Consider the following 19,584-nt stretch of genomic DNA (forward strand, 5'->3'; position numbering starts at 1 on the left):
CAAACACAGTTACTAGAAACCAGGGCAAATACAATCTCATGAAAGTTTGTCCTTTATTATGCTCTTTTATATTCTGGAACAAATTGACACTTTAGAGCAAAGAATAGTCTTCATAACCGTAAGGGTCCTTGAGACCTTTTAAGAGGACCTGCAAGGTCAACACTATTTTCATAATAATTTTAAGACTTTATTTGCTTTTTTTTTTTTTTTTTTTTGAGACAGAGGCTCGCTCTGTCACCCAGGCTGGAGTGCAGTGGTGCCATCTCGGCTCACTGCAAGCTCCGCCTCCCGGGTTCATGCCATTCTCCCACCTCAGCCTCCCGAGTAGCTGGGACTACAGGTGCCTGCCACCATGCCCAGCTAATTTTTTGTTTTTGTATTTTTAGTAGAGACAGGGTTTCACCATGTTAGCCAGGATGGTCTCGATCTCCTGACCTCATGATCCACCCGCCTCGGCCTCCCAAAGTGCTGGGATTACAGGCGTGAGCCACCGCGCCCGGCCAGTTTGCCTTTTTTATTCCACTTCTCTCATTCTCTTTCCTTTTCTCATGAGTGTATGCTTGAGTTCTTCCAGCAGCTAAATGATGAGTGATATCTCATCAGATTGAGTGAATCAGATATGAGAATCTGACTTCTGGTAACCCAGAAGTTAAAGAGATTTTCAAAATTATAAAACAACGCATTGAAAATAAATTACTGGGCTGGGCGTGTGGCTCACGCCTGTAATCCCAGCACTCTGGGAGGCTGAGGCGGGTGGATCACCTGAGGTCAGGAGTTCAAGATCAGCCTGGCCAACATGGTGAAACCCCGTCTCTACTAAAAATACAAAAATTAGCTGGGCGTGGTGGCGGGCGCCTGTAATCCCAGCTACCTGGGAGGCTGAGGCAGGAGAACCACTTGAATCCAGGAGGCAGAGGTTGCAGTGACCCCAGATCATGCCATTGCACTCTAGCCTAGGCAACAAGAGTGAGACTCTGTCTCAAAAAAGAAGAAAAGAAGTTACTTATGTTAACATGAAATGGCTTTATTGTTGTTATTTTCAAATGAACCAAATGTTTTTTTAATTTCTTAGTTTTAATTTCTAATATAGTAAATATCCATAGCTATAGCTCACATAAACAAAAACTCTTAGGGATCCTTAATGAATTTTAATTTAAGAATATGTGAAGGGGTCTTGAGACCAAAAATTCTGAGAATCGGGCCTTAAGAAAAAAATATTATTTTTCCTTGAAAAACAAAAGAACACTTATAGTTATACTTCTCTGTCATTATTGTTCCTTATATAATTGCAACTACCCATATTAATTATGATGTTTAAGAAAATAACTAATATCTGTGTCATAGAGAAAACTAGGGAGCTTGGATAATTGAGAAATAATATGTAACCATTTTAGCAGACTAGCAAAGCTCATAAACACAAAGAACACAACTTTCTACTGCGGGACACATCCCTTTTACACCTTAGTGTAGCAAAGATGAATCAACACATTCATTAACATGACCCAAAAATACAGCCTTTCCAGCAAAATATATTCACCTTAAGAAGTACATAGTTACTAACTATATAGTTTTAATTTCTATATAATTAATAACTATATTCTTTTTAAAAAGCTAATAACTTAAAATGATGCTTAATAATAAATGCTCTAATACTCTATCTTAGAAATTAGGTATCTTACGATGATTTATTAATCAATTCAGTTTAATATCAACTCAAGATTTTAAGTAAATAAAAATCTTAAATTATTTTGAAACTGACATACTATAAAACATAATAACTATTAACATTGTAAGGTTGGCCGGGCGCGGTGGCTCACGCCTGTAATCCCAGCACTTTGGGAGGCCGAGGCGGGCGGATCACGAGATCAGGAGATCGAGACCATCCCGGCTAAAACGGTGAAACCCCGTCTCTACTAAAACTACAAAAAATAGCCGGGCGTAGTGGCGGGCGCCTGTAGTCCTAGCTACTTGGGAGGCTGAGGCAGGAGAATGGCGTGAACCCGGGAGGCGGAGCTTGCAGTGAGCCGAGATCCCGCCACTGCACTCCAGCCTGGGCGACAGAGCGAGACTCCGTCTCAAAAAAAAAAAACAAAAAAAAAAAAAAAAAAAACATTGTAAGGTTTTCAGAATAATTATTTGATTTTGTTGATCACAGTTTTATACTTTTTTATAATCTTAAATATTATATAGGAAAAATGTGAGATTATTTGATAAATAAGCCTATAGAAGTTTAGGAAAAACCCAAGTGAAATAAAATGTATACTTGTGTTATACTTAAGATTGATGTAAATAAGAGAAAGAACATGGCTGAGGTTTTTTTATTATTGTTATTTAAGTTTGGGGTTTGTTTTTTTTCTTTGTTTATATGTATGTTTTGAGGCAGGGTCTCAATATTTTGCTCAAGTTGGTCTCTAACTTCTGGGCTTAAGCAATAATCCTCCTGCCTCAGCCTCCCAAGTAGCTAGCATTATAGGTACACGTCATCATACCTGGCTTTTGGGTTTCCTTAATAACTGGAATTATTAAGTTAGTCTCATTTGCTACAGATTTATCCTAATTATATGAACTCACATTCTCAAAATTATAAGTAGAATATTTTCAGTGTAGCATATTTAAAATATTGTAAGTTAAAATTATTTATTATCTAGGAATTTTAGAAATATTTTATATAAGAACTTACTATCTCTCTCAGCCAGTTAGAACAGGGCATCTTTAAGAGACGATATAATTTATGAATACCTTACAGAAATAGGAAGGCAAACACTTCACACTCACAAAATGAGGTAAATGTTTTTCTGTATTACAGACACGTGAACACACAGACAGATAAGAAACACAATAGCTTCAGTTCTACTTACAACTTGAGCTGTAAGTCAAGAGTAAACACAGAACCATAAATATTCATCAGTCCACTCATAAAGAGCTATTTTCTTTCCTAGAGGGCACAAAAATCTTAATTGATTTGGCCTCAGAATGGACAATAAGAGAAATAAACAAGAAAGACTAATAAGCCAGATTCTCTGTCTTCTCTTAACCAAACAAAATAGATTTGTATCATCCTTTTACAGAGATCACCAAATGATTAGACCATAAAACCAAATCCCTAATCATTCCTGCCACAAGGGGCAATACCTTATTGGCCGTGTGCAGAAACAAAAACAGAACCAAAATGAATACGGAGGCCAAAATAGAGAAACCAAAAGTTACCAAAGTTACAGTTTTATTGCTGCTTGGAATTCACTCCAGGAACCAAGGAAAGATGTACCCTTTGTTTGTTTGTTTTTGTTTTTGTTTTTTTGAGACAGTGTCTTGCTCTGTCTCCCAGGCTGGAGCACAGTGGCATGATCTTGGTTCACTGCAACCTCCACCTCCCGGGTTCAAGCAATTCTTATGCCTCAGCCCCACAAGTAGCTGGGATCACAGGCGCATGCCATCATGCCTGGCTAATTTTTGTCTTTTTAGTAGAGATGCTGTTTCACCATGTTGGCCAAGCTGGTCTCGAACTCCTGGCCTCGAGTGATCCGCCTGCCTCAGCCTCCCAGAGTGCTGGGATTTCAGACTTGAGCCACCATGCCTGGCCTGTACCCAGGTTTAAGCCACTCATAAAGTGTACTTCTCTGCCAATGAAGTTTAACTGGCTCTGTCCAATGAATCAATGGAGCATCTCAGTGGAGCCTCTGGAATTGTTAAAGTTTAACTTTTTATAGATAAAATCATTAATCTTGATTTTGTCTCCTTTCTTGGCTTACTCACTGTACCTCGTTTTTGTAAATAAATTTAGTTGTTTCATAAGTGTTCATAGTATGTATAACTTCTATATTCTACCTAGAAGTGATATTACCACTTCGTGTATAGCATAAGAATCTTACAATGATATACTTCTGTTTTTCCCCTCTCAACATCTGTGCTACACTTGCCATAAATGTCATATTTACATATATTATTGAACCTTCACTATATCATTATGATTTTTCTTTAAATGATAAATTACTTTTAGCAAATGTTATATGATATTTAAAAATCTTACATATTTGCCTATGTAAAAAAATTATGAATCTCATAAATATATAAAATGAACATGTTTCCAAGACTTTATTTAACTCAACAACGAGCAAATAAGATGCTATGACCTATTCAAAGGAGAATTCAAAGAATATACCCATTTCAGCATTCTTGACTACCCAGGTAATCAGGTAATCAAGAATGCTGAAATAATTTGCTAATAGATGCAAAACTGATCTATACCCACCACAGAATAATCAATTACATCTCCACTGGGCAGAATTCATTTGCATTTCTTTGGAATAAAATTATGTTCACTGGCGGGGCGCGGTGGCTCACACCTGTAATCCCAGCACTTTGGTAGGCCGAGGCGGGCAGATCACGAGGTCAGGAGATTGAGACCATCCTGGCCAACATGGGGAAACCCCATCTCTACTAAAAATACAAAAATTGGCTGGGTGTGGTGGTGCATGCCTGTCATGCCAGCTACTCAGGAGGCTGAGGCAGCAGAATCTCTTAAACCAGGGAGTCAGAGGTTGCACTGAGCCAAGATTGTGCCACTGCACTCCAGCCTGGTGACAGAGCGAGACTCCGTGTCAAAAAAAAAAAAGGTTCACTGTCTTAGCTTAGGCTGCTATTTAAAAAATACCAAAGTCCAGGTGCAGTGGCTCACGCCTGTAATCCTAGCACTTTCAGAGGCCAAGGCGGGCAGATCCTTAAGCCAGGAGTTCTAAACCAGCCCAGGCAACATGGCAAAATCCCCTCTCTACAAAAACTATAAAAATTAGCTAGGCATAGTGGTGCTTGCCTGTAGTCCCAACTAGTCAGGAAGCTGAGGTGAGAGGTCAAGGCTGCAGTGAGCTGTGTTCACACCACTGCACTCCAGCCTAGGCAACAAAATGAGACCCTGTCTCAAAATAACAAAAAATACCATAAAATGGGTGGCGTAAACATTTATTTCTCATAATTCTGAAGGTTGGGAAATCCAAGATCCAGGTGACAGCATGGATGGGTTCTGGTGAGGGCCCTCTTCCAGGCTGCAGATAGCTGACTTCTTTTACCCTCACATGGCAGAAAGAGAGCTAGCTAACTCTCTGGCCTCTTCTTATAATGGCACTAATTCTACTCATGAGAACTCCACCCTCATCACCTAATTACTTCCCAAAGCCCCCACCATCACATTGGGATTGGAGTTTCAACATATGAATTTGGGGGTGGGGAGGGACATATTCAGTCCATTGCATTTACTCTCAGTTTTATTCAGTTTCATTGCTGTAAAATAGCTGAAAAATACAAATAACCAGAAAGTGGGTGTTGCACTGGACACCCAGTATTCTTTTCTGCCCATTTCAAAGTTTTGCACAATTTTTCTGACCACTGGTGTTTCTCCTTACCTGAGTTGAAGAAGAGACTTATTCCTTCATCCATTCATTTTTCTTCTTCTCATATGACTCTGGGGTTCAGAATATCAGACAAAGATCCTTGCTGCTTCAATAGGTAAACAAAAATATAAGAACAATGATGATTCTCAGCCTTTATCACTATGTCTGGTACAAGTTTTCTGTCTGTCACAGGAGCATGAAGCACTTCTTCATGTTCAAAAAGAATGAAAAGGGCTATTTTTAAAAACAATTTTTTGCAAGAAAAATAAAACACTTTCATTCATTTAGCAAATATATAAGCATCTGCTTTCCAAACTCTGCATCATAACCTTCAAGGCCCTGCAACTCTGGCTTCTGCCTATCTCTTCAAACTCTGCTTATACCTCTCTCCTACTCATTCACTACCATCCATTGCCTTTTCAGTTCCATGCACGCTTTGCCACTTTGGAAGCTTTCATTTGTATGTCCCTTCTCTGGAATTCTCTTCCCTCCACACTTCACATGCTTGAATCCTTCTTATCCTTCAAGGCTTAGCTAATATATCACTACCTCTTCTAGAATGACCTTTCCTATTCCCCACACCCTCATCATTTTCTATCCCAGCACCTGCTTATTTCCTTCATCGCATGTACCACAAATTATAATTATTTTATTTGTTGGTTTACTTGTTTTTGGCTATTTCTCTCCAGTAAAATGTAACAGGATATCTTTGTGTCAGGGACTATGTCTTTCTTCTGTACCATGAAATGCGTAGCACATATGGAATTCCTAATACATAATAGGCACTCAGAAATGTTTGGTGCACTAACAAATGAATGAGTGAAAGGTGTATGCTATTCATTAAGGATTCATTATATAGATATAGATATATATAGATATATATAAAAGAGAAGTTTCCTGTTCTCAAGAACTTTATAGTTTAACAAAGGATACATATCAGCTATCAAAGCAGTTGCTCTATAACCTAAGTGCATAATGTTAGAAGCATTTAGTGCTATAGGAGCATATAAGAAAGACCTGAAGATTTCTGCTTCTGCTATGATAGAATAGCATATTTGGACCAATTCTCCCACCAAGAACATCTATAAAAACTATGTAAAATTTTTTAAAGAAAAGCAAAAGCAGATGTCTGAAGAAAATAACCAAGACAGCCAGGATTCCGGGCACTAAGATCCCAGAGAAAAAGTGAACCACAGAGAAGTAAAACTGGAATTCTTCACCATATTTTTCCTCAAAGCATTTACTAATTCCTAAGCCAGGAGTGAGGTGGGGTGAGAGCTATTAATACTACAGGAGGCAAAGAAGCCAAGCATAAAAAAGAGTAGCTAAGAAGCTAATGAAATAAGCAGAATTTTCATGAGTCTTATGAGTTCAGGACCTGTTATAGAGGAGGGGCCCTGGTAAATATCTCAGGCTTTCAGCTTGAAGGGCTATGCTTTAGGAATAAAGACAATCTGCAGATAAACTAGCCTTCACACGGACTGAAATTCAGCATCAAACTATCTCAATCCCTGATTAGATCAAGATAATCTGAGTTTTCCTTAACTGCCAGAAGACCTCAAATTCTTTTTGGAGGAATATATCATTGTCCAAAGCCTTTTCAATTTTTTCATACCTGATATTTGGGCTTCAATCTGAAAAGTTGCCAGACATGCTAGAGATAGAGCAAAATGACTAAAAATTAAGATAGGAAACAATTGATAAAGTAGACCTAAAAATGATGCTGATACTTATATTGTCTCACATGGACTTTAATAACCATTATATGTTTAAGAAAAAGGGATGACAAAGTGGGAAATTTCACTAGAAAACTGGTATCTATTCATAAGAATCAAATTGAAATTTTGGAAAAGGGATAGAAAATATAGAAATGAGCATAAAAGACAAATGGGATGTGGTGAAAGGTCAAACATATATGTAGATGAAGTCTAAGAAGGAGAGGGGAGACAGAGTGAGCAAAACGATATTTAAAATATTGGCGGATAGTTTTCCAAAATCAATAAAAGACATCAAGCCAGAAATTCTAGGAGCTCTACTAATCTCGAGCCGGATAAATAAAAGAAACCATACCTAGGTAATCAGCAAAACTACTGAAAACTAAAGACGGAGAAAATTTTACCAGAAGGACACATTGCCTTCAAAGGAGCAACAATAAAACTAACAAATGATTTAAATGGAAATGATGGAACCCAGAAAACAATGGACTGGGATTTGTAAAATGCAGGAAAAAAATACTGCCAGTAGGGAACTCTATAGTCATCAAAAATGTACTTCAAAAATGAAGGTGGAGTAAAGACAATTTCAGCCAAACAAAAACTGTGCGGACCTAGACTAAATAGAGTTTTTAAGGTGGAAGGATTATGGAAGCATGGAAATGCAGAAAGGACTAAAGAGGGTTAACATGTCAGCAAATGTAAATGAGTGTTGATCATGTAAAATAATAATGTCTTGTGAGGCTTAAAATATGAATACTATATAGTGAATATATAAATATCAAGTATATATTGTCAACATAGTATATGTAGAAAATATATACAATAAATAAAATACATATACTTAAAATATAAACATATACATGCACATACGTATATGCTTAAAATGCATGTAAAATATATACACACAATAGCATGAAAGGTAGAAAGGCATAAATTGAGTTGATATGTTTTAAGGTTCTTGTATTGTCTGGGAAGTGATTTTTAAAAACCCAGTTATGAGTAGACTGTAATAAGTCAAGGATGCATATTGTAAATCTCTAAAATAATTACTAACATAATAATATAAGAATATGTAACTAACAAGCTAATAGAGGGGAAAGAATATTAAATAAAAAATATTTCATGAATCCTAAGGGAGGTATAGAAGAAGGAAAAAGGAAATCAAAGCAGAAGTGACAAATGGTACAGTGATAGTTTTAAACCCAAATATAGCAGTAATCATACTACATGTAGGCCAGGTGCGGTGGCTCATGCCTATAATCCCAGCACTTTAGGAGGCTGAGGTGGACTGATCATGTGGGGCCAGGAGTTCGAGACCAGCCTAACCAACGTAATGAAACCTCGTCTCTATACAAAAATTAGCTGGGTGTGGTGGCATGTGCCTGTAGTCCCAGCTACTCAGGAGGCTGAGACATGCAATCGTTTGAACCCAGGAGACAGAGGTTGCCAACGTGAGCCGAGATCGCGCCACTGCACTCCAGCCTGGGTGACAAGTGAGACTCTGTCTCAAAAAAAAAAAAAAAGAAAAATTATACTAAATGTAAATAGACTGAATCCTTCAGTTAAAAATTGTCATTCTGGATTTTTAAAAAAACAGCTAATCATATGCTGCTTATAAGAGACACATCTTAAATATTATAAAGACATAGAAAACTGAAAGTAAAAGATTTGAAAAAGTTACAATGAAATATAGCTGGTGTAGCTATATTGATAACAGAGAAAATTCTTTTTCTTTTCTTATAATACATTTTTATGTAGAGCAAATAGAGAAAATTAAGGTAAAAAGGATTACTAGATATTAGGAGGGACATTTTATTATTTTAAATTAGTTAATTCATCAGGAATATGTAAGTAACATTTGCAAATTTACTATATCTAATAATATAACCTCAAAATGAAAAATACGTGAATTAATTAATTAATAATCAACATTTCATCTAGTCCCCCAGTCTTTGGAGTTCAGAGGAGGCTGAGAAGATGACTGAGACTAAGATAAAGGTGGGATAGACAGTGGGGTAGAAAGAGTATTCAAGGCAGAAAAAAGATTTTCAAAGACTGGAGGCAATAGCTTAAGAAACTGGCCAGATGCGGTTGTTCACACCTGTAATTCCAACACTTTGGGAGGCCAGGGTGGGTGGATCGCTTGAGGCCAGGAGTTCAAGACCAGCCTGGCCAACATGGTGAAACGCTCTCTCTCCTAAAAATACAAAAATTCGCCGGGCATGGTGGCATGCACCTGTAATCCCACCCAGCTACTTGGGAGGCTGAGGGACAAGAATTGCCTGAACCCAGGAGGCGAAGGTCGCAGTGAGCCGAGATCATGCCACTGCACTCCAGCCTGGGTGACAGAGAGAGACCCCGTCTCAAGAAGAAGAGAGAAAGAGAAAAAGAGAGAGAGAGTGGCGGCGGGGGTGGGGCAGGGGAGAAGGAAGGAAGGAAGGAGTCTTGCTAGAATGTAGACGGAGAGAAAGATTGATAGGAATGTGGCTGGGTGAGATGGATGAGAACAATGATTGGGGGGGCTAGAAAATATAGGAATATTTGATATTTAAAAGATGATATGGCCTGGTGCAGTGGTTCACGCCTGTAATCCCAGCACTTTGGGAGGCCGAGACGGGTGGATCACCTGAGGTCAGGAGTTTGACACAAGCCTGGCCAACCTGGTGAAACAGTGTCTCTACTAAAAATAGAAAAATTAGCTGGGCGTAGTGGTGCATGCCTGTAATCCCAGCTACTCGGGAGGCTGAGGCAGGAGAATTGCTTGAACCCAGGAGGAGGAGGATGCAGTGAGCCAAGATCGCACCGTTGGACTCCAGCCTGGAGGACGAGAGCAAAACTCCATCTCAAAAAAAAAAAAAAAAAAAGATACTTTTTCCTAAAAACCAGCAACTTATTAAAGTATTATATAGTCACTTGATCAAATTTATCTCAGAGGATCTCTGTTACTACTGTGGGGAGAATGAATTGGAGGAGGGTGGCACTATTGGCAAGGAGACCTATTTCAGCAATCCCGGTGAGATGATGTTGGCTGAGGCTGTAGAGATAGAAGGGAACACATTTTTACAAATAAAAGTACCTAATAGTTTGTGAAATATTTAAAATGTAGACAGGTTACTGGACTCATTTTTAGATTAGTAAACCAAAAAATTTAGTAATAGACCTAGGTTTTTATTATTTAAGAGAAATGTTAAGGAGTGCAATTTTTTTCTTTCTGTCTACAACACCAGCTGCAGAGCTGTGTTATATTTCATTTCCAAAGATCAGATTTTGTAATATCACTGTGGGTTGGTCATAGCCACAGGTTAGTTTTGTTTTTAATACTAGAATATAAAGTTGGAGTAGTTAAAACTCCCTTGACTTTCTGTTTTAGAGTTCCTTTCCTGTTTTTCATTTTAGTTGAGCTATTTAGATTTGACAAATCTAAGTAATCTGTGGGCATATGTTCAAGTCTCTCTTCAAGGAATGTATATGGCTTTAAGATCATTAAGCAGAATGGTGTAGGATACATACATGTAGGTTTCTTGCCCGGGTACAACTTAAGACATATTTGTTAACATCCTTCTTCAGACATAAAATTCTATCTTAGAAGAGAAACAATAACGCACCAGCTAATGATATTATACATTAATGTAGTTGTTTTGTTTTTATCTAACTTCTCCTACTAGAATGTACTTTCTGTGAGGACAGGGATGTTGTCTCTTTTGTTCAAGGCTGTATCCCCCTACACATAGACTGGTACTCATCATATACCAAGTGTTAAGTAACTATTTATTGAATGAATAAATGGATAAATGAAGAATGAAGGAATATTTGTGTTAAGCAAATCAACTCCATTAAAATAAGAAAGATGTTTCTTTTCATTTCAATCTTATTAATTTAATGTTCATTTAAAGTGTTGAAAGTCTAATATTAAAATGTTTGAAAGTAAAGTGATTATTTTTAATGTTTGCAGGACTATCTCAAGCAGGTGCTGGACATTGATCTTCATGCTCAGATCCATTTTGGCAGGGTTTTTATGAAACCAGGGTATGAAAATCATCTTGTTATCTCATATATGGGGTTGGTTTGGCTTGCTTTAACTAACAAATTTTTAAATGCCTTCTTTTTACATTTCCTATTATGAATTAACTATTCCAAAAAAAAAGAAATATAGTATTAGGATCCTTTGCACAAGTGCAGGTTCTAATGAAATAGGAATTCATCTTCCTTATGAGTCAATGAGTTTGGTATAAACAAAACACAGCAACTTTCCAAACTTTTTCTCCTTTTTAATTCTCATCCCTAGTTCCTTCTTCCTCTTTTTCTCTTTTTCCCCAAACTGCTTCTTTATCTGTTTTTAAAAATAATTAATATGAGAACTCTGAAATATACACAAAAGTAGGGAACGAACCCCCACCCCACCCTGCCTTTTAGTTGGGAGGGAGGGCTGGTTTGTTTAAAAGCAAATTCTAGATATGTCATTTTGGTATACATCTGAAATAATAATACTAACAACAGCATTCTCTTACCTAATCACAGTAGTATTATGTCATCTAACAAAATAAATAATACTTTAATATCATCTAATACCCTGATCATATTCAAATTTCTCCCATATATCAAGAAAAAGAATGCCTTTTTATAATTGTTTTGTTTGATAAGGATTCCATTAAGGTCGACTCAGTGTATTTGTTTGTTAAGTCTCTATTAAATGAGAACATTTTCTGCCCCCACCCTTTTTGTTGTTGTTGTGCCATTGACTTGCTAGAGAAAATGGATCATGTTTCCTGATGAATGGATTTGGCTGATTACTTCCTTAGGTTATGTTCCTCTGTCTCTGATATATGCTATAAATTGAAAGATATAAAGGCTTGATTAAATTCAGGTTTAATTTTTTTTTTCCTTTGCAAGAATGTTTCATTAAGTAGGCTTTCACACTGTTTCCTACTGGCCCCTAGGAGGAAAGAAAAATAACTAAGGAAAATAACCATGAATTTGCACATCTCTTAAAAATTAATAATCCCTAAAGAAGGGCTGATGGAGGTCCTGAAGTCAGTTATAAATCCTCAAAGGTTGCCAAACGTTGGTATTAGTGAAAGATATGGCCATATCTTTAAGAAATAGTCTATCTGTTTAGACCTTTGCTACTCTATGAACCTATGATTTCCTGTGCAGAGACCTCAACTGTATGGCTGAGAGTTCCAGCCCACCTCCATGCTGTCAGGGACAACAGTAATGATGCTTTACTGTCAATGAACCCTAGGAGAGAATGGAGTAGAGGCTTCTCAGTTGTTGTAAGTGAGCTATGGGTACCATCAACAAATTTCAAAAGCCTTTAAAGTATCAAGCTAGCCCTCCTAATAAGTACCTCATGTCAGTTCTAGGATAGAGATCAGGCTTTACCTCCACGATTTGGCCATTTTTAGTATAGAATTAAGATTATTCCTAAAGCTTTGTCCACAATTTGATAGAATTCTTGGCTTTGTATTTCTGTAGTTGCATGTTGAGCATGCCCCAATATGGCTGCTGCTGATAGGGCCTTTTTATTATCGAAACTGTTGAATTGGGGCTGGGCATGGTGGCTCACGCCTATAATCCCCAACACTTTGGGATGCTGAAGCAGGCAGGTTGCTTTGAACTCAGGAGTTCCAGACTATCCTGAGCAACATCGAGAAACCCCATCTCTATAAAAAATACAAAAATTAGCCGGGCGTTGGTGGCTTGTGCCTCTAGTCCCAGCTACACGGGAGGCTGAGGCTGAAGAATCGCTTGAGCTGGGAAGCAGAGGTTACAGTGAGCCGAGATCATGCCACTGCAGTCCAGCCTGGGTAACAGAGTGAGACCTTGTCTCAAAAAAGAAAAAAAGAAAAGAAAAGAAAGAAACTATTGGATTTTGTCTTACGCAAATATTGTTATGCTATTGGGTATAACTGCTTTTTTTTTTTTCTGAGCCCATGGGCAGTACTAATCTGATTAGGATACAGAGGATATCCCAAAAGCATATCAGTGTGCTTCTCAAAACCTCAAAAATTGAATTGGGCCGAGTGCAGTGGCTCACACCTATAATCCCAGCATTTTGGGAGGCCGTGGGGGTGGTTCGCTTGAGCCCGGAAGTTGGAGACCAACCTGGGCAACATGGCAAAACCCCGTCTCTACAAAAAATACAAAAATTAGTCAGGTGTGGTGGCACATGCCTGTAGTCCCAGCTACTTGGGAGGCTAAGGCGAGAGGATCACTTGAGGCGGAGGTGGCAGTGAGCCATGATAGCACCACTGCACTCCAGCCTGGGCAGCAGAGTAAGACCCTGCCTCAAAAAAAAAAATTAATTGATTGTTCTATTTGCAGAGGGAAAGAAGCCAACACGACTTGCCCTTACCTCTAGAGAAGAGTTATTTGTGTAATATCTATCATTTAAAATATTCTCAGTGCCTGTGATAACTTTTATACTCTTTTTTTCAATCTGTTATTTACCACTCACTTCAACTTTAGCAGTTCATCAATTCCTAACATTTTATTTCCTCCCTTAAAATCATAACACTCTGACTTCAGCCATTGTGTAAATGCTGTTATAGTCTGAGCTCAAGAGGAGAACTGAATAATAGGTTTTGAGTTCCAAGGAAATGGCTTCCAGAGCTTAAAAAAAAATTCACAGTTTAGCAATAGGACATTTATGATAGCCATGCATAATAACAAAATATTTTTTTGCAATGGAATCCTTTTTTAAATGAGTAACTTTACAGAAATTACATTACCTACCTGCAAGATGCAAAAGATTGCTTAAATTGGCCCTATAATTTCAATGGGCTTTAAATGCAGTGGAAGGAAGAAGGTGTTATACATTCTCTCCTCATTCTTATTATCTGTAGGTTTGCTAAAATAAAGTAGTTTTGAAGTTTAAATGGGCTTCTTTTAGTTCACCAGAATTTTATGCTTGTCTAAAGGTAATAAGAACTTAAAGGTAATTGCTACTTAATATTAGAACAAAAGAAATATAAAACACACAAATACAATCTGGCTTTGCTATTTCCACGTAACAGTGCTTTCAGAATGCAATTAAGCTCTTTCATTTTAGAGACAAAGATACTCAGAAAAGCATTTGGAGTATCAGCAACCAGATCTACCAATCACGGTTTTTATTGCGTCATCTACAGTGAGCATAGCTGTTATTAAGAACAAATCTTTGAAATTATTTGCATCACACACTAATAATCATTGCCAAATAACCTATCCATAAATCAGTATCAAAATCGAATCTCATTTTTCTAAAACAGCAAAGAATCAGGAAGTATGCTAAAGAAAAGCCTCAGAGTAGCCAAAATAGATGTCCAAAGATCATGTACTAACGCTACATAACCATCCTGTGAGATCTTTATCCACATATCAGCTAAAGTTAGAACAACCTTGGTTCAAATCTGTGTTCCTCCACTTAGTAGCTGAGTGACTTGGACCACATTGCTTAATCTCTCTGAATCTCAGTTTCCATATAAACTGGGATTCTAATTGTTACCTTATAAGCTTGTTGTAAGACTTAAATGAAATAATTAATGTGATACATAGATGTTACTTAAAAAATAGATATTTTAGCCAGGCCCAGTGGCCCACACCTGTAATCCCAGTACTTTGGGAGGCTGAGACAGGAGGATCGCTTGAGCTCAGGAGTTCAAGACCAGCCTGGGCACATAGCGAGACCTCATCTCTATTAAAAATAAAAAAAATTAGGTGGGCATGGTGGTGCATGCCTGTAGTCCTACCTACCTGGAAAGCTGAGGCTGGAGGATTGCTTGAGCCCAGGAGATGGAGACTGCAGTGAGCCATGATTGAGCCACTGCACTCCAGCATGGGTGACAGATCAAGACCTTGTCTCAAAAAATAAATAAATAAATAAAAATAGATATTTTTATTATTACTGTTATTATGTTCATTCTAACAATATAACTATTGCTACTATTCTCTGGTTCTCAAACCTAAAACCAGCTTTAATGGTCAAGATGATAGCAATCTCGCATTACAGGGTGCCACAGGAAAAAAAAAATTGGGAAGGAATAAAAAAACAGAAACAAGAACTATAGAAACATAGCAATGTGGGGTTATGGTTTATGGGTGAAAACAACCCATAGTACTCTTGTGACCTAACATCACTGTATTACAGCAGAGTAGTACACATTAATAATGATGGCTATAAATCATCAAAAGAAGTCAGTGTCACTGTATTATTGCAAAAGGTAAAGAGTGAGAGATCTATTTTTGAAAGATCAACCTCCAAAAAGAGTAAAAATAAAACAATGTGAGTGCTTAAAAGGTTAATATTTCATCTGTATGAAAAAAGTATGCCCTAAGAATTCTGCATTGCTTAAGGTTCATTAATATAATGAGATTTATTAGCTAAAATTCTATATAAAGGGTAATTAATAGAAAAAAAAAACACTATTCTCAACTGCCCACTCTATGCCACTCACTCCTTCCACCCCACCTCCTATGATAAGAGTTCATGTCAAAATCTTGAGGAAGTGTAATTTGAGAATATTTTTAAATTACTATTAATTGTGGCTGGGTGCGGTGGCTTACACCTGTAATCCCAGCACTTTGGGAGGCCGAGGCAGGCGGATCACCTGAGGTCGGGAGTTCAAGACCAGCCTGACCAACATGGAGAAACCCTGTCTCCACTAAAAAAACAAAATTAGCCGGGCGTGGTGGCACGTGCCTGTAATCCCAGCTACTCGGGAGGCTGAGGCAGGAGAATCACTTGAACCCGGGAGGCGGGGGTTGCCGTGAGCTGAGATCACACCCTTGCACGCTAGCCTGGGCGACAAAGAGCAAAACTCCATCTCCAAAAAAAAAAAAAAAAAAAAAAACTGTTAATTTTGTTCTAGTCATGATATTTTATTTATTTTGATATTTCAAAAATAATGTCTTGATAAGAGGGAAGTGTTTATGTCTATGCTAAGGATAGTTTTAAAAGGCTAATACAGAAGGAGCAGGATTGAAAGAAAAAGGTTAAAAAATACTCATTTTGAACAATAGGCAACTGTCTGATAGACATATTATCAGGTAATCTGCTTTCTTTTTTTTTGAGATGGAGTCTTGCTCTGTCGCCCAGGCTGGCGTGCAGTGGCCATCTCAGCTCACTGCAACCTCTGCCTCCCAGGTTCAAGCGATTCTCCTGCCTCAGCCTCCCGAGTAGCTGGGATTACAGGCGCACACCACCATGCCTGGCAAATTTTTGTATTTTTAGTAGAGACAGGGTTTCACCATGTTGGCCAGGCTGGTCTCAAACTCCTGACCTCAAGTGATCCACCCCCCTCAGCCTCCCAAAGTGTTGGGATTACAGGTGTGAGCCACCATGCCTGGCCAGTCTTCTGCTTTTAAGAATGATTGTTGTAAATCGCCAGCAAAAGTAGTATAAACATTATTAACTAGAGGGGTGGGAAAACTTGGAAACTCCAAGATTTGGAGTACATTTCTATGGCACTGGCAAGAAAAAAAAAAAAAGTAAGTAGTTTTCTTTAAACCAGAAAGTGTGGTTACTTGAAAACAGGAAATACTAAAAACAAACTTATTTAAGTGTCTGTGGAATACTTCAGAGTATAAAGATGTAAAGGCAAGTCAACAGAAAAGTGTTTTTTATATGATAAGTGTATGGATTACAAAAACACTGGAGTACTTAATGTATTCATCATATTGCTTAGCAATCACTAACAAGTGACTCTTTTTTTCTTCTAGCTTGCCAACAACATTTGCAACTTTGGATATTGATGGTGTAAGAAAAATAATCTTTGCACTACCTGGTAAGAATAACAAATTGTTTCCTTTCCTTTTTCTGGAAAAATAGCCAAAATTTTTTGGACTTCTCATGTGACCACCTGGTTTGAAATCTGAAAGACCTGGGCTCAAGTCTCAGCTTTTCTAAACGACCAATCACTTAACCTCTCTAGGAAGTTTCTTCACCTATAAAATAAGACTAATATCTACTTCATAGGGTTGGTGTGAAAGTCAGATTAGATAATATATATCAAAGCACATTCCAAATCCTATCAAAGCACATTCCAAATCCTAAGATGATCATCAAGTGTTAGCTGTCACTAGATCTTTCTGGAGCACCTGCTTTTTCCTTACAGGAAATTGGTCGAAGTTAGCAGCCGAATACCTCTCATAACCAGAAGTATTGTGCTCTAGAGGCCAAAATGCCTTGAGTCACCCAAGCAAATACCAAATCAAAAAATACAAAGCTGCCTCTGGTCCTTGCCAGATTTGGGCTGGTTGAGGGGAGGGGGAAGAGGAAAGGCCAGGCTACTGGAACTAGTGCTTCTCAGCCAAATCCTACTCATCATCAGTCTACAACTTCCCCACTCCCACCCTTGTCCCAACGTGAGCAGAAACTCACATGTTCAGATTATAGAAAGAGCAAAGCAGGTTCAGTTCACGATGATTTTCAAATTCAAATTTTTTGTGATTTGGGGTTATATAAAGTCATGGTGAATCTTGATAAATTTTAAAATAATTTATTGTGCATCTTTTTTTTAACTTTAAAATTATCTTCTGATCATTCTGTTCAGTTCTCTATTTTTTGGCACAGATTCCTTTAGAAAATAACCTATTTCTTTAAGATTTACAAATCTCATGGCTTTTGGATCTTTGTTTGTTTTTTAGGTCAAGTATATCTCAAAATGGAAATGTAAAGAAATGGAAGCAGGCAGAAAAATGTTAAACTTTGAAAACATTTTAAGCCCCTATCTATAAGCATAAAAGAGATTAGATTTCTATCATGTAGAAAATTTTCAGAGAGAGAACATTTAAGTAAAATAGTCCTCAGAATGTATCTGTAACATGAAACGCCTTAGGACCTTTCATAATTCCTTGGATGCTCTGATAGCCATTGTATAAAGAAATGTGCTCCTTTTCCTAGCTTCATTTAGCCTGGAAGAGCCTCTTTTGTCTACGGAAGATATGACTTAACCTACAGACCATCAGTGATATTATAACAAAGAATGTTACTGTGGGAGCCTATTTCACCATTATGCCAAAGATGTTATAAAATTAAAACCTGTTTTCAAATTCCTACTTTTAATTTGAAACCTTATCTGCTCAGCCTGAGTGAACCAACAGAGGGCAGCAGAAACTCACATGTTCAGATTGTAGAATGTGCAAAGTGGTTCCATTTACAAGGATTTTCTTTCTTGTTTTTGTTGTTATTGGTTTTGTTTGTTTTTTGTGTTTTGTGTTTTTTGTTTGTTTGTTTGTTTGTTTTTGAGACAAGGTCTGGCTCTGTCGCCCAGGCTGGAGTGCAGCAGCGCGATCTCAGCTCACTGCAACCTCTGCCTCCTAGGCTCAAGCCGTTCTCCCACCTCAGCCTCCCAGGTAGCTGGGACTATAGGCGCTTGCTACCACCCCTGGCTAATTTTTGTATTTTTTGTAGAGACGGGGTTTCACCATGTTGCCCGGGCTGGTCTCAACTTCTGAGCTCAAGCCATCCACCTGTCTCAGCGTCCCAAAGTTTTGGGATTACAGGCATGAGCCACCATGCGCAGCTTTACAAGGATTTTCAATTTCAAAAGTGTATTTCTGCTTTCCTGTAGGCCATGCGTTTAAAGCCATCCCTAATCTCGACAAGTTTTAAATCAAAGTTTTGTATATTTACTTGTTTTTTTGGACATTTTTAACATTGCTAGAGTGACACATGCTCACTATTGTAAAAATCAGAAAATATAGATAAGCATAAAAAAGTGTTAACCATAATCCCCCAACACCCACATATGGATAAACCACTATTACAAGTTTTTTATATCAGTCCTTCCAGTCCTTTTTCGTACATAGCAAGACCCTGCCTCTAAAATAATTAGAGCACTTCATTTTTTATACAGTAATGTTATAAAGTGGTAGTATTACATGGATTTTATAATCCTTGATTTACAATGGCTTTTTTATTTGTTGGTTTGGGGTTTTTTTGCTTTTCCAGAAAAAAATATTCTATCTACTTGTATTTTGAAGCAAGGGAAAGTAATTGATTCTTTTTAAGAGTCTGCTATTCTGTGGGCAACTCATTTTTCCATCGAAACTATTAGTATCACTTGTCACTTTTTGCACCTTAAAAAATCTATTCTTAAGCACTTTTGCAGGTAGAAGAGAATTGGAGGTATGATTATAGCTAATAATAGGCTAAACTGACCATTGCCTTTTGACTTGATGATGCAATAAGCAGTGTTTAGCCATGCCAAGGGAACCTAAAAATCTAGTAGCCCATTCCCCACTCCAGGTTATACATTCATGCTTACATAGAACTGTATAAAAGTATTAAAACAACTGAAATTTTAGAACCAGAAGAGATCTTGAGAATCATGTAGTCCAAACCTTTCATTTCATAGATGAGTAAAGTTAGACTCAAAAAACTTTGGAACTTGCCAAGATCAGACAGCTTGGTTAGATAATAATGCCACACAAGAAATCAAATCTGTTATTTACAGCCCAGTGGTTGTTTGCTTCTTCACAGCCCACCCTTCCTCCTTTGAAGT

The 19,584-nt window shown here is 37.7% G+C and overlaps 1 protein-coding gene and 1 long non-coding RNA gene across 26 annotated transcripts in view, besides 1 other annotated feature; one reads left to right on the plus strand and one right to left on the minus strand.

The window, feature by feature from the left end:
- Positions 1–19,584, plus strand: part of GPHN (gephyrin) — a 1,227,209-nt gene that overhangs the window by 640,217 nt on the left and 567,408 nt on the right. For 22 of the 23 annotated variants that reach the window (XM_011536340.4, XM_017020913.3, XM_011536343.4 and 19 more), the window contains 2 exons: positions 11,052–11,125; positions 16,799–16,863. The exons of the other annotated variant lie outside the window; for it this stretch is intronic. In XM_011536340.4, the coding sequence (XP_011534642.1) occupies positions 11,052–11,125; positions 16,799–16,863 (139 nt within the window). The remainder of the gene's footprint in view (positions 1–11,051; positions 11,126–16,798; positions 16,864–19,584) is intronic. 23 annotated transcript variants of the gene reach the window in all.
- Positions 1–19,584, minus strand: part of LOC105370538 (uncharacterized) — a 116,677-nt gene that overhangs the window by 75,676 nt on the left and 21,417 nt on the right. For all 3 annotated transcript variants that reach the window (XR_007064215.1, XR_001750990.2, XR_007064216.1), the window contains exon 2: positions 5,397–5,487. This is a non-coding gene — a long non-coding RNA (uncharacterized LOC105370538). The remainder of the gene's footprint in view (positions 1–5,396; positions 5,488–19,584) is intronic.
- Positions 15,521–15,690: an enhancer, noted in NCBI's record as "experimental_36177 CRE fragment used in MPRA reporter constructs". NCBI's record gives its function as "activates a minimal promoter by MPRAs in K562 erythroleukemia cells, with activity observed for the non-introgressed 14:67630686 variant allele {active_cell/tissue: K562}" and the evidence as "EXISTENCE:reporter gene assay evidence [ECO:0000049][PMID:34662402]".

The sequence above is a fragment of the Homo sapiens genome, chromosome 14 (assembly GCF_000001405.40).
Source record: "Homo sapiens chromosome 14, GRCh38.p14 Primary Assembly".
NCBI classification, from domain to species: Eukaryota; Metazoa; Chordata; class Mammalia; order Primates; family Hominidae; genus Homo; species Homo sapiens.